This window comes from Homo sapiens, chromosome 6 (assembly GCF_000001405.40).
Source record: "Homo sapiens chromosome 6, GRCh38.p14 Primary Assembly".
NCBI classification, from domain to species: Eukaryota; Metazoa; Chordata; class Mammalia; order Primates; family Hominidae; genus Homo; species Homo sapiens.
In genome coordinates this window covers 60,874,700-60,894,574 of record NC_000006.12, presented here as the reverse complement: position 1 = coordinate 60,894,574, position 19,875 = coordinate 60,874,700, and the positions used below count along the sequence as shown (strand labels likewise).

Here is a 19,875-nt window from a genome sequence, read left to right as displayed (position 1 = left end):
CCATCACAGTAATTTTGAAACTCCATTATCTATAGAGTTTCAAGATAACTTGGATGTCTCTAGATGTCACCAGCCTGTGGAAAGAGAGGAAGGTGCATCAGCAGATATCCAATATTCAGTGGTTCACTGTCTTTTTGCTCATGGAGGAAGGACTCCAATCTCTGGAAGGGTCCCTTGCCCAGGTATTTCTGGAAGTGTCCCACAGGGGAAGAATAAATCTGCTATGTTATCTGCTTCCAACTTCTCCCTCTGAGGGTTGCCTTCCTGCAGGAAAACTGCCAATCACAGCCATACCCTCCCATAACTTCCATGAAATGCCTGGGCCCATGTTAAGGTGCCACCTCCATGTTCCCAAAGAAGACAGTCTTGGAATAGTAGTCTATGCCAATTGTTATCTGAGGTTGGAAAAATGACCCCCTCACATACTCTATGCAGTCCTCTGTCATTGTCCTTGAAGCAGCCCAGCTCATTCCACAAGCATCATGGCATTTCTCATGAAAGCAGCTCCTTCAGCTTTTTCCCCTCCATCATTCTATCGAGGCTCAAAAATCCAAATAGGCTGTAGCCATTTTGCTCTCTCCATTGTTATTTGCCACACACCACCTGCAGGTACTTCTGCAATTAAAAATTCTGCCTTAACCTAGAACAAAATATCTTATTCATAACAAGGTATGCTGACAGGTGTTCTTATAGGTCACCAGACCACTAGCTCAGCAAACAGTAAGAGGCTTATTCTCAATTTGATCTCAGCTTGGATCCACTTTAAATGGCCATGGACTGAAATCATTCTTATAATTTAAATGTAACAAAAAAATACTTAAACTATAAATGGAAGCATAGTTATGTAACAGGCTGATATATGCCAGCATCAAGGGATTAAATAGGTAGAAATACTTCCTTCTCTATTTATTCAATCCTATTACCTGAAAGAAAATGAACTACTATCTGAAATCACATGAAAGAGGGCCACTGGCTATTTCAAAAGCATAATCTAGAAATTGATGAGCTGACATATTTTAATAAACCTTTTTTCCTCTGAATTTGGAATTCAATCCCTGCTTGGTTAGTTGGTCTCATATAAATCCTCTTTTCTTTGGATTTGCTTTCTACGTAAATGCTTGCTACTTTGTGTTTGAATCCTAAAGCTTTTGGATGTGGTATGGGTATAAAATACAGAAAAAAAAGTCATTATTTCCCTTATATTCTTTTTTAAAAGGCCACAGTAATTTCTTTAAAATGGAAAGAGGTATTTTGCTATGAGGCAAATTATAAAATTACTGAAGTGAGTTAGAGTGTAATTATTCATATATGCATGTAGAGAAACCACCACCATGTAAATGCCTAAAATATAAATTTGTCAAAAAATATTGACCGTTTCCTACATATAAGTGGACACACATGTGTGTGTAGATTGTAGATATACACAGGCATATGTGTACACATTCATGCAAACGCAATAAGAATCTTTTTCTAACACTTACTTGATTTTATTCAAACTTGCGCACACGTTTTGGAAACAGAGTTTAGGTTCTAGTTCTGTCTTAGCCTATTTGTGTTACTATAAAGGAATAACCTGAGGCTGAGTAACTTATAAAGAAAAGAGGTTTATTTGGCTCATGGTTCTGCAGGCTGTAAAACAAGTATGGTACTAGTATCTGCTCCCAGTAAGGGCTTTAGGTGTCTTCCACTCAAGGTGGGAAACAAAGGGCATGTGCAGAAATCACATGGTGAGAGAAGCAGCAAGGGAGGAGGGCAGGGAGATGCTAGGTTTTTTAAACAACCAGTTCTCATAGGAGCTAATGGTGCAAGAACTCACTCATTACCATGAGGATGGGACCAAACAATTCATGAGAGATCTACACCCAAGAATCACTCAAGCACCTCCCATTAGGTCTCACCTCCAACACTGGGGATCAAGTTTCAACATGAGATCTGGGGAGACAAACATCCAAACCATAGCAAGTTCCTAGAGCACAAGAAGTAACTTCTTTTCAAATTCACATAGGTTAAGAGGAAGTGTTATTAAATGTATTTTTCAACAGTAGAGTTTACATCCAATTCCAAAATTAAAGATAATTAGTCACTTTTTTTCCTTGTTTGGGTTAATAGGCTCAACCTCAATAAATCCAAAGAAAGTGCTCAAAAGAAACTATCAACACTTAATTGCAGTGAACCCCTTACCCTTCCCTCCTCCATCTCCTTACGTGGTCGATGATGTATGAAATCAAGGTAGGGAAGAGAGGTATGGAGTCTTTCTTGTGATAATTCAAATTAATGTGCACGTGCTTGGTTTACTGAGGCTGATTCAAAGTCAAGCAGGAAAATAGCATCTATCACAGGAATCAGAGACTTACCTACCCTACTAGGGTAGGGTGTAGGGGAATGTATGCCACAAGAAAGCCTAAGTATGCTATATACCTAAAAGGAAGAAGTGCCTCTACTAAAGGGGGAAGGAAATTCAGAAAATGAGTTATTGGAGAGCTGTAACAATCTTGCAGGATTCATAACTCAGTCTAGGAAACTCCATACCTGGAATTTCTCTAGAGAAAAAGAAACTGTGTCAAGATGTTTCTGTTATGTTCAGCTAGAAATGCATGCAACTTTATTTGAATGATTTATAAAGATTTGTGTTGTTATTTTTAAACATAGACTTTGTTATAAAGTTTTTTAAAAGAATTTGTTAGTAAGTATCATGTACTTATGCACACACAGAGCTTTTTAATCAAATCTTAATCTCCATAGGCCTGACGCCTATGTGATATACAGACCCAGATGAAAGGATAATGACAATTTGCCAAGAAAGGTTGTATTGCTGTCATGCAATCCATCCATAAATTTCATAGTGACTAAATAAACACAGATGTGTCCTTCTGAATTGTTCAATAAGCAGATAATATTCTTTAAAATTATTAGTATGCTTGCTTTCTTTTCTTGTATTCAAAGCTCATTATTTATTGGTCATTTTAAATATATAGTCCTTAACACGTAGAGTATTTAAATAAAACCTAAAATATAATGATTCTGTATGATTTCACCTCAGTGAGGCAAATCTAAATATTTCTTCTAGTATATTGGTTCTCAACTTGGGGTGATTTTACCCCACAGAGGACATCTGGCCATGTCTGGGGACATTTTTGTTTGTTAAAATTGGAGAATGCTACTGGCATCTGGTGGGTGCTACTAGCATTTGGTCAGGGACGCTACTAAACATCCTGCATTGTGCAGAACAGCCCCCTGTGACAAGGAAGTATAAATGAAACTTCTCTACTTCCAAAGGCTGACTCCATTCCTTAAAGTTAGTGTTTCTAGGAGGGCTACCCTCAAACTGTGCACTTGAATACATTCTCTTTAAATTAGATTATGATCCTTTTGATTATTTAAAATATTTGCTTTTGTATCTCCAGTAGCTAATATAGTACGTGGCACATAAAAGGCTCTCAGTAACTGTTTAATGAATGAATAACTTAGGACAATAATGAGACAGAGGTCAAGTCTTAACTCAGCACAACTTGACTCTCTGACATGGAGCAACTGAGGTATTCTGCCTTTCTTTCCTCAACTGGAAATACGTACTTAGATTTTATGACTAATTTTTAAATGTATTAAGTGATTTAGAATTGGTGAGTTTTTTTGTCTCCAACTTTTTTTTTCCTTTTCTTTTAGGTTTAGGAGTACATGTGCAGGTAAACTGCGTGTCAAAAGGGTTTGGTGTACAGATTATTTTGCCACCCAGGTAACAGACATAGTACCCAATAGGTAGTTTTTCAATCCTTACCCTCTTTCCTCCCTCCAACCTTATGTAGGTCCTGATGTCTGTTGTTATCTCTTTTGTGTCCATATGTACTGAATGTTTAGCTCCTATTTATAAGTCAGAACAGGTAATATTTGGTTTTCTGTTCCCATATTCACTTAGAATAATGGCCTCCAACTCTATCCATGTTGCTGCAAAGGATATGATCTCATTGTTTTTTATGGCTATGTAGTATTCCTTGGTGTATATGTACCACATTTTCTTTATCCAGTCTACTGTAGATGGACATTTAGGTTAATTCCATGTTTTTGCTATTGTGAATACTGCTGTGATGAATATACATGTGCATGCGTCTTTAGGGTGGAACAATTTATATTTCTTTAGGTACATACCCAATAATGGGATTGCTTGGTCAAATGGTAATTCTGCTTTGAATTCTTTGAGGAATTCTTTGAGAAAGCCAAATAGCTGTCCACAAGGGCTGAACTAACTTACATTCCCACCAGCAGTGTATAAGCATTCTCTTATCTCCACTTTTTTCCACTTCATAAGCATCTGTTATTTTTTGACTTTTTAATAATAGCCATTCTGAAATGTTAGATGGTAACTCATTGTGGTTTTCATTTGGATTTCTCTAATGATTAGTGACGTTGAACATTTTTTCATATGTTTGTTGGCCACATATACATCTTCTTTTGAAAAGTATCTGTTCATATTTTTTGCCCATTTTTTAATGGGGTTGTTTGTTTCTGCTTGCAGATTTGTTTATGTTCATCATAGATTCTGGATACTAGACCTTTGTTGGATGCATAGATTGCAAATATTTTCTCCCATTCTATGGTTGTCTGTTTACTCTGTTGATAGTTTCTTTTGCTGTGCAGCAGCTCTTCAGTTTAATTAAGTCCCATGTGTGAATCTTCATTTTTGTTGCAATTGCTTTTGATGACTCTGTCATGAAAATTTTGTCAGGTCCTATTTCTAGAATGAGATTTCCTAGGTTATCTTCTAGGGTTTTTATAGTTTGAGGTTTTATATTGAAGTCTTTAATCCATCTTGAGTTGATTTTTGTATATGGTATAAGGAAGAGGTCCAGTTTCAATCTTGTGCATATGGTGAGCCAGTTAGCACAGCACCATTTATTAAATACGGAGTCCTTTCCCCATTGCTTGTTTTTGTTGACTTTGTCAAAGATCACATGGTTGTAGGTGTGCAGCATTATTTCTGGGCTATCTATTCTGTTCCATTTGTCTATGTGTCTGTTTTTGTGACAGTAGCATGCTGTTTGGGTTACTGTAGCCTTGTACTATAGTTTGCAGTCAGGTAAGATTATGCCTCCAGCTTTGTTCTTTTTGCTGAGAGTTGCCTTGGCTATTTGAGCTCTTTTTTTGTTCCATATGAATTTAAAAATAGTTTTTTATCATTCTGCAAGGAATGTCATTGGTAGTTTGATAGGAATAGCACTGAATCTGCTCATTGCTTTGGGCAGTATGGCCAATTTAACCGTATTGATTTTTCCTATCTATGAGCATGGAAATGTTTTCCATTTGCTTGTGTCACCTCCGATTTCTTTCAACAGTGTTTTGTAATTCTCACTGTAGAGATCTTTGACTTCCCTCGTTAGCTGTATTCCTAGGTATTTTATTCTTTTTGTGGCTACTGTGAATAGGATTGCATTCTTGATTTGGCTTTCAGCTTGGTTGTTGTTGGTATATAGGAATACTACTGATGTGTGTACATTGATTTTGTATCTTGAAACTTTGCTGAAGTTGTTTAACAGATTAAGGAGATTTTAGGCAGAGACTATGGGGTTTCCTATGTGTAGAAACTTACTATCTGCAAACAGTGATAGTTTGACTTCCTCTCTTGCTATTTGGATGCCTTTTATTTCTTTCTCTTGACTGATTGCTCTGGCCAGGATTTCCGCTACTATGTTAAATAGGACTGGTGAGAAAGGGCCCTTGTCTTGTTCTTGTGTTCAAGAGGAATGCTTCCAGCTTTTACCCATAAAAATTGGTAATTCTTTTGCTAGAGAAATAAAATACAAAGTTACTAATTTCGTTCCTATTCTAATTTGGAATGTTCTAGTCCCACAGAAAAATTTTACATGCAAAGTTAAATTAATTTTAATACCATGCCAGGCCAAAAAAAAAAAAGAAGAAGAAGAAGATGGCTTAGGATACACACTGAGAAGGTGGGAAAAATCCTACAAAAGACTAGAGAAAAAAAGAATACTTTATTAAGCTTTAACTTATTGCCAGGCACTGTGCTAGGAAGTGAGAAAACAAATGAGTAGGACATTATCTCCTTTCTGAGCAACTTACCCAGACAAACCAAGGGACAACCCAAGAACGTCACGAGCAAGTTTTCTCAGTGAGGAGGTGGATTGGAAAAGCAGAACCACCCAAGGGGCTTTAACACACTCCATACCTCTCCTCTTCACTGAATCCCATTTCTCTGTCTACTTACAGTAAGTGCCATGCTAAGCCACTCTCACTGAGAGACCTAGGCCACATTCCTTAGGAACCAAGAATATCCAATTGGTTAAAGTTAAGAATTATGGCTAGATTGAGTTAAAGAAAAAGACAAAGTGAGTAATAACTATTTTATTTAACATTTGTTATTATTATCATTTCTTAAGAGACAGGGTCTTATTCTATTTCCCAGGCTGGAATGCAGTGGCACAATTATGGCTTATTGTAACCCCAAACACCTGGGCTCAAGCTATCCTCCCACCTCGGCCTCCCAAGTTGCTGGGACTACAAGTGCACATCACCACATCCAGCTAAATTTTTTTTTTTTTTGTAGAGATGGCTGTCTCCCTGTGTTGCCCAGGCTGATCTTGAATTCCTGTCCTCAAGCAATCCTCCCACCTCAGCTTTCCAATGTGCTGAGATTACAGGTGGCACCACACCTGGCCCTTTTTTTTTTTTTAATTTTAAAAAATGCCATTGAAGTAAGGGAGTATTTCTCCGGCATTACAAATTTGTCTTATAACCACAAATAAATTTCAAGACTTATTACTGTGGTGTTTTGAAAAATACTACAAAAGCTAAAGGGGTTCTCAAACTTGGGTCAGTATTAGAATCACCCAGGGGACTTGGTAAAGTCCAAGGCGTAGGCTTTGTCCTATCTAAGTAAAAATGCACTGGACACTTGTTAAAAATAGTAAGATGAGTTTATTCAGGCTACTGTAGTAGGGGAGGAAGACTTCTACTGAAATAAAAGGTAGAAGAGCCTTTAAGCACTGGGGTGAGCTAGCTTCTTAGCAGAATGATTGCCAATGTGATTAGGTCATCTGTGTTTGCTAATTGTCTCCTATTGAAGTTAGGCTCCTACCGCTCACAGAGACTGGAAAATAGTGACACTATCTTCCTTTACTACATTTCAAAAGGATGGCCTCAGGTCCTTGAGAAAGACATCAGTGGGTGGTAAAAAATGTCAAGAGGCTGGAAAAATATTTATATCTCAAAGGAAGGGAGGAAGAATTTACAGTTGTAACTTTAAAGTAAATGTTATTTAAAAAAAAAAAAAAAAAAAAAAGGGAGGTCCCAGGGATGAAGCCAACTTGATCATGGTGGATAAGCTTTTTGATATGCTGCTGGATTTGGTTTGCCAGTATTTTATTCAGGATCTTCACATCAATGTTCATCAGGAATATTGGCCTGAAATTTTCTTTTGTTGTTGTGGCTCTGCCAGGTTTTGGTATCAGGATGATGCTGGCCTCATAAAATGACTTAGGGAGGAGTCGCTCTTTTTCTATTGTTTGGAATAGTTTCAGAAGGAATGGTACCAGCTCTTCTTTGTAAAATTCAGCTGTGAATTTGTCTGGTCCTGGGCTTTTTCTGGTTGGTAGGCTATTAATTACTGCCTCAATTTCAGACCTTGCTATTGGTCTATTCAGGAATTCAACTTCTTCCTGGTTTAGTCTTGGGAGGGTGTAGGTGTCCAGGAATTTATCCATTTCTTCTAGATTTTCTAGTTTATTTGCATAGAGGTGTTTATAGTATTATCTGATGGTAGTTTATATTATTGCGGGATCAGTGGTAATCTTCACTTTATCATTTTTTATTGTGTCTATTTGATTCTTCTCTATTTTCTTCTTTATTAGTCTGGCTAGTGGTCAATCTACTTTGTTAACCTTTTCAAAAAGCCAGCTCCTGGATTCAATGATTTATTTTTTGAAGGGTTTTTGGTATCTCTATCTCCTTCAGTTCTGATCTTAGTTACTTTTTGTCTTCTGCTAGCTTTTAAGTTTGTTTGCTCTTACTTCTCTTGTTCTTTTAATTGTGATGTTAGGATGTCCATTTTAGATGTTTCCAGCTTTCTGATATGGGCATTTTAGTGCTATAAATTTGCCTCCTAACACTGCTTTAGCTGTGTCCCAGAGATTCTGGTACATTGTCTCTTTGTTCTCATTGGTTTCAAAAAACTTTGTTATTTCTAACTTAATTTCGTTATTTACCTAGTAGTCATTCAGGAGCAGGTTGTTCAGTTTCCATGCAGTTGTGTGGTTTTGAGTGAGTTTCTTAATCCTGAGTTCTAATTTGATTGCACTGTGGTCTGAGAGACTGTTATGATTTCCATTCTTTCGCATTTGATGAGGAGTGTTTTACTTCCAATTATGTGGTTGATTTTAGAATAAGTGCTATGTGGCGCTCGGAAGAATGTACATTCTGTTGATTTGGAGTGGAGAGTTCTGTAGATGTCTACTAGGTCCACTTGGACGAGAGCAGAGTTCAAGTCCTGAATATTCCTATTAATTTTCTGTCTCATTGATCTGTCTAATATTGACAGTGGGGTGTTAAAGTCTCACTGTATTATTGTGTGGGAGCATAAGTCTCTTTGTAGGTCTCTAAGAACTTGTTTTATGAATCTGGGTACTCCCGTACTGGGTGCATATATATTTAGGATAGTTAGCTCTACATACCCAAATCAATAAACTTAATCCATCACATAAACAGAATCAATGACAAAAACCACATGATTATCTCAACAGATGCAGAAAAGGCCTTTGATAAAATTTAACATGGCTTCATGATAAAAACACTCAATAAACTAGGTATTGAAGGAATATGTCTCAAAACAACAAGAGCTATTTATGACAAACCCACAGCCAATATCATACTGAATGGGCAAAAGCTGGAAGCATTCCCTTTGAAAACTGTCACAAGACAAGGATGCCCTCTCTCACCACTCTTATTCAACAGAGTATTAGAAGTTCTGGCAAGGGCAATTAGGCAAGAGAAAGAAATAAAGTGTATTCAAATAGGAAGAGAGGAAGTCAAATTGTCTCTGTTTACAGATGACATGATTGTATATTTAGAAAACCCCATTGTCTCAGCCCAAAAACTCCTTAAGATTATAAGCAAATTCAGCAAAGTCTCAGGATATGCAAATCAATGTGCAAAAATCACAAGCATTCCTGTACACCAACAACAGACAGACAGCCAAATCATGAGTGAACTCCCATTCACAATTGCTACAAAGAGAATAAAATACCTAGGAATACAACTTACAAGGGACATGAAGTACCTCTTCAAGGAGAACTATAAACCACTGCTCAAGGAAATAAGAGAGGACACAAACAAATGGAAAAACATTCCATGCTCATGGATAGGAAGAATCAATATCATGAACATGGCTATACTGCCCAAAATAATTTATAGATTCAATGTTATTTCCATCAAGCTACCATTGACTTTCTTCACAGAATTAGAAAAAACTACTTTAAATTTCATATGGAACCAGAAAAGAGCCCATATAGTCAAGACAATCCTAAGCAAAAAGAACAAAGCTGGAGGCATCACACTACCTGACTTCAAAGTATACTACAAGGCTACAGTAACCAAAACAGCATGGTACTGAAACAAAAACGGATATATAGACCAATGTAACAGAATAAAGTCCTCAGAAATAACACCCCACATATACAACCATCTGGTCTTCAACAAATCTGACAAAAACAAGAAATGGGGAAAGGATTCCCCATTTAATAAATGGTGCTGGTAAAACTGGCTAGCCATATGCAGAAAACTGAAACTGGACCCCTTCCTCACACCTTATACAAAAATTAACTTAAGATGGATTAAAGACTTAAATGTAAAACCTAAAACCATAAAAACCCTAGAAGAAAACCTAGGCAATACCATTCAGGACATAGGCATGGGCAAAGACTTCATGACTAAAACACCAAAAGCAATTGCAACAAAGGCCAAAATTGACAAACGGTGTCTAATTAAACTAAAAAGCTTCTGCACAGCAAAAGAAACTATCATCAGAGTGAACAGGCAATCCAGAGAATGGGAGAAAATTTTTGCAACGTATCCATCCGACAAAGGTCTAATATTCAGAATCTACAAAGAACTTAAACAAATATACAAGAAAAAAAAACAACCCCATCAAAAAGTGGGTGAAGGATATGAACAGACTTCTCAAAAGAAAACAGTTATGTGGCCAACAAACATATGAAAAAAAGCTCATCACTGGTCATTAGAGAAATGCAAATCAAAACCACAATGAGATACCATCTCACAGCAGTTAGAATGGTGATCATTAAAAAGTCAAGAAACAACAGATGCTAGAGAGGATATGGAGAAATAGGAAGGCTTTTACACTGTTGGTGGGAGTGTAAATTAGTTCAACCATAGTGGAAGACAGTGTGGCAATTCCTCAAGGATCTAGGACCAGAAATACCATTTGACCTAGCAATCCCATTACTGGGTATATACCCAAAGGATTATAAATCATTCTACTATAAAGACGTATGCACACGTATGTTTATTGCAGCACTATTCACAATAGCAAAGACTTGGAACCAACCCAAATATCCATCAATGATAGACTGGATAAAAAAAAAATGTGGCACATATACACAATGGAATAATATACAGCCATAAAAAAGAATGAATTCATGTCCTTTGCAGGTATATGGATGAAGCTGGAAACCATCATTCTCAGCATACTGACACAGGAACAGAAAACCAAACACTGCATATTCTCACTCATAAGTGGGAGTTGAACAATGAGAACACATGGACACAGGAAGGGGAACATCACACACAGGGGGGCCTGTTGAGGGGGTAGGAGGCAATGGGAGGGAGAGCATTAGGACAAATACCTAATAGATGTGGGGCTTAAAACCTAGATGATGGGTTGATGGGTGCAGCAAACCACCATGACACATATATACCTATGCAACAAACCTACATGTTATACGCATGTATCCCAGAATTTAAAGTATAATAAAAAAAAAAAGAAAGAAGAAAGAAAGAAAAGAAAAGAAAAGAGAAAAGGGAGGTCAAGGGCCTATAGTTAAGAAACGTATCTAAAGTCTAGACAAACTAAGTGGATCATTAAGACCACCTTGAGCATATGTCAGTGAGTTTTCTTAGTTCTCTAGATAAGAATCCGATAGGTACCCAAGATTGGAAACCAGCACTGAGATGTTTAGAAAAACTCTCAAAACTACCTCAAATTAAAGTGTTAACAAAATAACATAATCATATTTCACTTATGTTGTGTTCATGGATTCTCCCCTTACTCATTATATGTGACAGCAAAACATGTAACTTTTATGTGGGATGAAAAGAAATAGAACTAAAATGTAAGGCTTCCAGATAAAATACAGGACATGTGGTTCATACTTACTTTCTGAAATTCACATTTTATTGAGTGCTGTGTACTTTTATTCACTGTATCTGGCCACCCTAAGGTGGAGATTATGCTTGTGCTTTCCCTCACAGCACACAAACAACTTCTAATTAAAAATCTTAAAGGTATTGCCTTGATGTTTTTGTGAAGAAGAATGTTTGAAATGAGTCAAGACAGATAAGAGTCTTAAGGCTTTTAGTACAGTAACCTTTTAGGAATTGCCTTTTCCTGAACATCCACTCTACACAATGCCCAGGCCTAACAATACAGCCTCTTGATGTGCCTGAGGCCAGGTGTCTCTCTCAGCCATTGTTTGTGAGGCAAACCTTTTCTGCCTGGGTTGCCTGGATTTATGGAAGCCACTTATTCTCTTTTAAATGTTAGGAACTCAGCAGGTTGAAATATAAACATTTTTTCAAACAGGTTCAAAGAACATGAACAATCTACAAAGGACATAATCAAACGCCTTCCAAATTGCAAAGCCACAGGTTCCAGACCCCACCAGATTTCAGTTTTGTGCATATTTTATCAACCATTTGAACAATAGAGAGTGGCTGACCTGCTTGGCTCAGTTATCAAAGGGATCTCTTGTATCCTGTAATGACAAAAGTGGGTCTGCATGACAATTTAACAGCAAAAGCCATTTCTTTCCATTTTATACTTTAAAAAACTGCCAAGTAATTAACTTCACAGCAGTTTTGTTGGCAAAGTAATACCACAGATAAAATGAAACATTCATTAATAATTGACCATGAAAACTGTAGTTAAATACTGTTGAGCTAATATAATCACTAACAGAAAAAGATAGAGCAGAATGACTGAGATGTGGGAAAGTAAAAGCAATTACATGGGATGCTTCAGCTCTGAAAGGCTGAAAACGAAAGAAAAAGAGATCAAAAACAAGAGGTAAAAACATTATTTATAGTACCTGTATTTTCTATATTTATGAGCTAAACAATCAATTATAGTGCTCAAGTCCAATATGATTTCCCCTTTAAAAAAAAAAAAAAACCCACTCTCAAAAAGAGCCTTTCATTTGTGTAAAGATTCAAATAGGTAAAAGACACATAAACATGATAACCAAAAGTCCATCACAGCATATGATGAAATATCCAATTAAGCCAGCAATAACTATGGACCAAAGCAAGCACTTTATTTCTACTTTAAAGCCTATGTCTTGTCCATCGTACTGTCCTTTAACTAAATGCTACTGACAATGACTCTACCATCCTGTCACAATGTGGTTATTGTTTTCTCCCCCATATAAAAATCTTCTAAATGATTTGGGCCCCCCAAAAAATAGTGTAAGTTCGAAAGTATTCCTGGATAAATAAATCCTTTCATGTGGAAATATCTGTGATTCCTTTTATGCAGAAAACAAAACAAAAGGCAAAGGAAATAATTTCCTCTGCCTCAAATGGATGTTCTTTGTATATCTCCACTTCAGAATCTAGGTTACCCATGAATTCTGAGAAAAAAAAATCATAGAGGGGGGTGATGAGCCTCGCACTAGATAATTTCTTAGCTTTCATACTTGTATATTGTTAAAATAATGCATGTTTAAATTGCTTTGATCTGAGGATCATTGAATAGCATCAAGCCTTTCCTACTGATAATTAAGTATCTTTCAGGATAAATAGTAATTAAACTTTATTTTTTGTAATGGGGAGACCCAGATACTAAGCTTTCTACTAAACCGCTATGAGCAAAGCTCAGAAATAGAACCTAGAATTTTCCATTTTTATCCTGTTCTGAGCAGAAGACTACATTATATCTTTGGGAATTATCTGTAATAGCATTGTTTAAAAGAAAATGCAGTAATGTTGCAGGAAAAAAGGATATAGGATAAGGATAAAATCATAACAAAAATCTCTATTGCAGAAGATTTTTGTTGCACCTGTGGTTCACTTTAGAACATCAGCAATCTGTTTTGAACTGGTCCATAATTTCTAGTGCAATTCAAAAATAATTGCTAATGTGCTTTTTAACTTGCAATTTTCAGAGCCATAAACCTTAAAATTCACTCTGGAAATGCTGAGGCTCTTTATTTTAAAATGTGAGAAAAGAAATGCCTTACGTCTTTTCTGTATGTTCCTACTCAAAGACGAACAGCTCTCTGGATCTGTAAGAGGAAGTTATCATTTGGTTCATAACACAAAGAAACAAGGGAGGGAAAAAAAGAAAAAGAAAAAAAGGCAAACAGAGTATTTGGCAGCCATGCTTATCAAATTAACACAAAAAATATGCTTTTCTGATTCAAATATTTTAATTACATAAGTCTGAGGTAACACAATGTAGAACTGACCACAATTAATTAATTGTATTTATTATACTAGTCAAACTCCTGATTTAAGCCTATTATAACTCAGCTATTTGGCCTTAAAGTAAGATAAATGATCCCATTCAATTTTTTTTAATTTATTTATTTATTTGTTTTTAGACACAGGGTCTCAATCTGTCACCAAGGCTGCAGTGCAGTGGCACAATCATAGCTCACTACAGTCTCAAACTCCTAGGCTCAAGCGATCCTCCTGCCTCAGCCTCCCAAGTAACTGGGACCACAGGCATGCACCACCAGGTTCAGTTAAGTCTTTAAACATTTTTTGTAGAGACAGGGTCTCATTTTGTTGTCCATGCTGGTCTCAAACTCCTGGCTTGTTCAAGCGGTCCTCCTGCCTTGGCCTCCTAAAGTGTTGGGATTACAGGCATAAGCCCCTGTGCTTGGCTCAAAATTATCTCATTCTTTAAGGCAAAACATAATTTATTTATTTATGAAGGAATATTTCAGATGTATAGCTTAATGCTCAAATCCTGAAAAATCATTGTATTATGGATCGTTTCAAGGTTTCTTTTAAAGAACTCTAACAATATACATTGTACATTCTTTTTTCCTACTTAAAGTTGAAGTTCCTTTTCACAAATTGAAAGCAAGTTTGGCTGCACTTGAGCTAATGTATATATAAGCCTGAAAAAAAAATGCTAATTAAACTTAAAATGTTAAAGATAAATAATGAAATAACATGTTTTGCAAGTGACTGGAGAGTCCATTTCCAGTCCACTCAGTTGTCTTAAACACAGATCTACCCCAGAATAGACTCCCCAGAAGGCTCCTTTCTAGATATTTACATGTAGAAAGGTTCATTGATAGGCGCCAGTCCTGTTGTGTAGATTTGAAGAGCAAAGTCTCCAGCTTGCTTTATGTTATCATTTTGACAACATAAGACACTTTGAAAATATTTACTTTGGCTTATAAGCTATTTCCTTAAAAATTTTTATTTCTAAATATTGCTTCACTTTGGATCCTTTATCTACTTTGTTCAAACAAGGCTAAATAATGTCACTATTTAATAACAACTATGCAAATTATTCCATTCCTGAAATTATCTAAAATCAATTACATATTTGTTTTTCAGATTATAGGTAAATCCTTCATATCAGTTTACACCTAGAAAATATATTATACATTTATTATTCTAAAACTTAGCTTCTACTATAAATATGTGAACATACATGCCAAATTCAAATACCATCCCTTTGTACCTTTTTAGGTAATTACAACTGGACTGCAATTACAATTTTGAGGTAGATCTGTGTTGATAAAGATTAGTTAATGGTTTCTACAAAACTAGCTTACAAAAGATGATAACTTTCTTTAAAGTTTTTATATGATTAAAATAATTAAAAAAACATATTTTCAATTCCATTGAATTAAAGTTTCAGATGTGACCTAGATCAAATCATCAAAATAAATAAATTTTGAGCTTTTATTGGGTTCAATAGGCCAAGATCTCAAATTAGTATATGTTGCCCACTACAGCATTATTTCCATTAGGCTACAAATGCTTTTTAAAGTTAGATATCATTTTATAAAACAGGAAAAGGGGTAATAAATATTCTTAGGGCCTTGGGATAATTTTTAACTTGTCAGGGAAACAGACAACTGACTTTTGTGGCTGGGTCAGGATAAAAGGATAAAGATAAAAGGGAATAATTTCTATTTCTCCACCTCTCCAGAGTGCTGTATAATTTAATTTCACATGGCTGACTTGTAAACTCACCACCTCTCTAAAGGCTTAATAAAAATTAGGGCTTTACTTGTATTCTATCATCTAAAAATATTCTGACTTGACGAGCATACTAAATATCTAGCTAGAATATGTGCTATGTGTTGTTGGGGCTCAGAAGATAATACCCTACAATATGGCATGTTGGCATGCTGAGTGCTTTGAACAAAGAATATTGAAAAGCCTCAGTAATGAGCCTCAGAACTAAGGTCGCTCTCTCTGACCTCCTGCCCTTTCTTCTCTTTCCTTTTGCTAGTGCAGAGAGGAGCTTTCTCAAGTTCCCTTATCTGACTGAAGGAAGTTCTTCCAAAAGGAATGCAATTGTCTTGAACCCCTTCCCTAGGAATCTCATCAAACAACTAGAAAAGATTATTTACCAGAAAGGACATTAAAAGTCATCACTACATCCAGGCTGGGCACAGTGGGGCTCACACCTGTAGTCTCAGCACTTTGGGAGGCCAAGGTGGGCAGATCACTCAAGGCCAAGAGTTTGAGGCCAGCTTGGCCAACATGACGAAACCTTACCTCTACTGAAAATACGAAAAAAGAAAAAAAATAGCTGGGCATGGTGACATGCACCTGTAGTCCCAGCTACTCAGGAGACTGAGGAACGAAAATCACTTGAACCTGGGAGGTGGAGGTTGCAGTGAGCCAAGATCACACCACTGCACTCCAGCCTGGGCAACAGGGCAAGACTTTGTCTCAAAAAAAAAAAAAAAAAAAAAAAAAGAAGTAATCACCACATCCAGATGGCATCTTCTCCTGAAGGTTGATCCTTAAAGAACTTTTATTACCTAAGAGACTTTTATCTGTGTAGTAAGATAAACTTTGGTTACCATGAGATTCCTCCCCTTTCCCTCCCATAACTTACAGTCACCTGTAAAGTCCACCAAAAGTCTGAAGCCCCTATTCCTTCAAGCTATTTTAACCTTCAACCATCTCTGTTCCCTTCTTTGAGTCTCATATCTTACATGGCTCCCATGCACACTTGCACATTAACAAATTTGTATGCCTTTTTGCCTATTAATGTATTGTCAGTTTATTTCACCAGATTGAAACCTTCAGAGGGGAAAAGAAAAAATTCATTTCACTCCTACAGTGTTTACAAACAAATTATATATGCACACAGGAATCATGCTATATTTATTTTAGTATCACCAATACCTACAATATTTATGATGTATCAAGTTACTCAGTGGATGTATGTATACCAAATTGAAATTAAACACGTATCAAGAAGTAGATGGATAAGAATGAGAGGACAAAAGAGAACTATGCTCACAGATCATATGTACTCATACATCAGTCAAAATATGCAGACAGAAATAGATTTCTATGTACAAGAAGTAAAACATATTCCTAAAGCTTTCATAAAGCCAAAAGCCAAAAATATATACATTTTTTCAAATATTTACGTAGATGGACTGCTTTAGAGAATAAATATAGCCTCATCGTGCTCAGGAAGGGAGTATAATGAGAGGACAGAGCCCAGGGTGCTGATTTACTGCTCTCTTAGGTGCCTTTCCTTGCTGATTTATGGAGGTGCCATAGAAACGCCTTTGGAAGAAGCCTGTTGCCTTTTTTAGGGAATAATTACTGCTCTGACACTCAGCCAGGGAACACAGAGAGAAAAATAAAATATAGAAATTAATATGATGAAAACTTTTTTTAGTAAAATACACACAGGCATACCTCTGATAAATGTATTTAGTAAATACACACAGGCATACCTTATCTTACTTTAAGGCCAAATAGCTGAGTTATAATAGGCTTAAATCAGGATTTTGACTAGTATAATAAATACAATTAATTAATTGTGGTCAGTTCTACATTGTTTGTGTTACCTCAGACTTACATAATTAAAATATTTGAATCAGAAAAGCATATAATACCTCTGACATATTATGGGTTTAATTTCAGACTACCACAATAAAGCGAAATCATAATGAAGTGAGTCACTTGAATTTTTTGTTTCCCAGTGCATATAAATTTATGTTTACAATATACTGTAGTCTGTTAAGTGTGCAATAGCATCATGTCTAAAATAACAATGTACATACTTTAATTTTAAAATATTTTATTGCTAACAACAACAACAAAAAAAATGCTAACAATCGGGCCGGGTGCAGTGGCTCATGCCTATAATCCCAGCACTTTGGGAGGCCAAGAGGGGCGGATCACGAGGTCAGGTGATCGAGACCATCCTGGCCAACAAGGTGAAATCCTGTCTCTACTAAAACACACACAAAAAATTAGCTGGGCATGGTGGTGCATCTGTAGTCCCACCTACTCGGGAGGCTGACGCAGGGGAATCGCTTGAACCTGGGAGGTGGAGGTTGCAGTGAGCCAAGATTACGCCACTGCACTCCAGCCTGGTGACAGAGCAAGACTCCGTCTCATAAATAAAATAAAATTAAAAAATGCTAACAATCATCTGAACTTTTAGCAAGTCATAATCTTTTTGCTGGTGAAGGCTCTTGCTTCATTGTTGATGGCTACGGACTGATCAGGGTGGGGTTGCTGAAGGTTGTCGGGGTAGCTGTGGCCATTTCTGAAAAAACAACAATGAAGTTTGCTGCATCGATTGATTCTTCCTTTCACAAAAGATTTCTCTGTAGCATGCAATGCTGTTTGATAGCATTTTACCTTGTGTAGAACTGCTTTCAAAATTGGAGTCAATCCTCTCAAGCCCTGCCACTGCTTTGTCAACTAAGGTTATGTAATATTCTAAATCATTTGTGGTCATTTCTACAAAGCTCACAGCATCTTCACTGTGAGATTTCATCTCAAGAAACTACTTTCCTTTGCTCATCAATGAGAAGCAGCTCCTCATTCATTCAAGTTTTATCTTGAGATTGCAGCAATTCAGTCACATCTTTAGATATCACTCTAATTCTAGTTGTCTTGCTATATCTACCACAACTTCAATTATAATAGTAACATCAAAGATCACTGATCATCACAACAGATACCTATCTGTTGTGATGATCTGATAAGAATGAGAGGAAAAAAGAGAACTATGAACTATTTCAAACTTTATTATTATTATTTTATCAGTATTAACAAAATGTGGCACAGAGAAATGAAGTGAGCACATACTGTTGGAAAAACGGCAATGATAGACTTACTCAATGCAGCATTGCCACAAACCTTCAATTTATTAAAAAAGTAAAAATATCTGTGAAACACAATCAAATGAGGCATGCCTGATTTTTCTTCATATTTCATTAGTTTTTATACGTTATTAATATTTGAACAATAGCAGTTTATATTGGATTATACCGTAAACTTTCATTGCCAAAAATACTACCTATCTGTGGTTGTAGTGTCACTAGATTCTGACATTGTTACAGATAAAATTTCAGTTCACAAAATCCTACAAAACAACCTAATAATGATAAGAAGAAAGATTTAAAGGGGTAAAATCAATTTTTTTTGCCATTTTTAAGAAAAAAAAATAGATGATTTTCCTGATTTGAGTGGTCCATGATTCCTAACATAAAATCTATGAGACTTCTGTTTCTAGTAACAAAGAAAAATATCCTATGCTAAGATTATATGAAATTCTGGAAAGATGGGAACCCCTTTTTCCCTCTCCTCTTGACTCCAATCCAGCTACTAACAACATCCCCCTAATGGAGCAGCCGTCATCTTCCTCTCCTCCACCTACACTCTCCTCGTAATATGTCCCAGCAGTCAGAGAGAGAATGAACAAACACACCACCTTGTGAGACAGAGCTACCAGAGGAAAAAAAATGACTACTGAACAAAAATTGAATGCGGATTAAGATTCAGTATGACAAAAGATTTTCTAAAAATAGACATGATTTTCAAATTAAAAATGCAGTAAATCTCAGGATTGGAAGAATTTGCTAAAAAAAATTTAATTCAGTAAATGAATTTAACACAAGGATTTTTTAAATCTCTTAGGTCACTAACTCAGGTCCCAAAAGGGCAAATAAGAGAAGAGATAAGGGGCTTCAAGGGCAGATCACAAAGGGTAGGTGGCTAGGGGTGGCAGGGGTCGGGGGATAGAATAAAATGTGATAATGTTTCAGATAATAGATAAAGTTTCCCTGAGCTAAAGAAAATCTTCAGTTCTCTTATTAAAATGGCTCACTAAATCCAGGAATGTTTGACACACACTTAAGCACATCATGGTAAAATTACTGATTTTTAAGAATGAAAAAAAAATTTACAATCTCCTCAATAGTTAGTAAATGTTACCTTGCAATACCTACATCAGAACAGTTACTTCAACTAACTGTACTTGAAATACAGTAAACAATACCCACATCAGAACAGTTACTTCAAGATAGTAGAGGAAAAAGAAAGGAACCAATGGTAAACCAAAAACATCCAAAAGAAAACAAAAAACCTTTATATAACTAAATTGAAAGATAATAGTGC

General features: G+C 36.2%; 1 annotated feature.

The window, feature by feature from the left end:
• Positions 11,638–12,139: an enhancer, noted in NCBI's record as "NANOG hESC enhancer chr6:57850183-57850684 (GRCh37/hg19 assembly coordinates)". NCBI's record gives its function as "activates a minimal SCP1, AML or CMV promoter by ChIP-STARR-seq in primed H9 embryonic stem cells {active_cell/tissue: H9 hESC(primed)}" and the evidence as "EXISTENCE:reporter gene assay evidence [ECO:0000049][PMID:30033119]".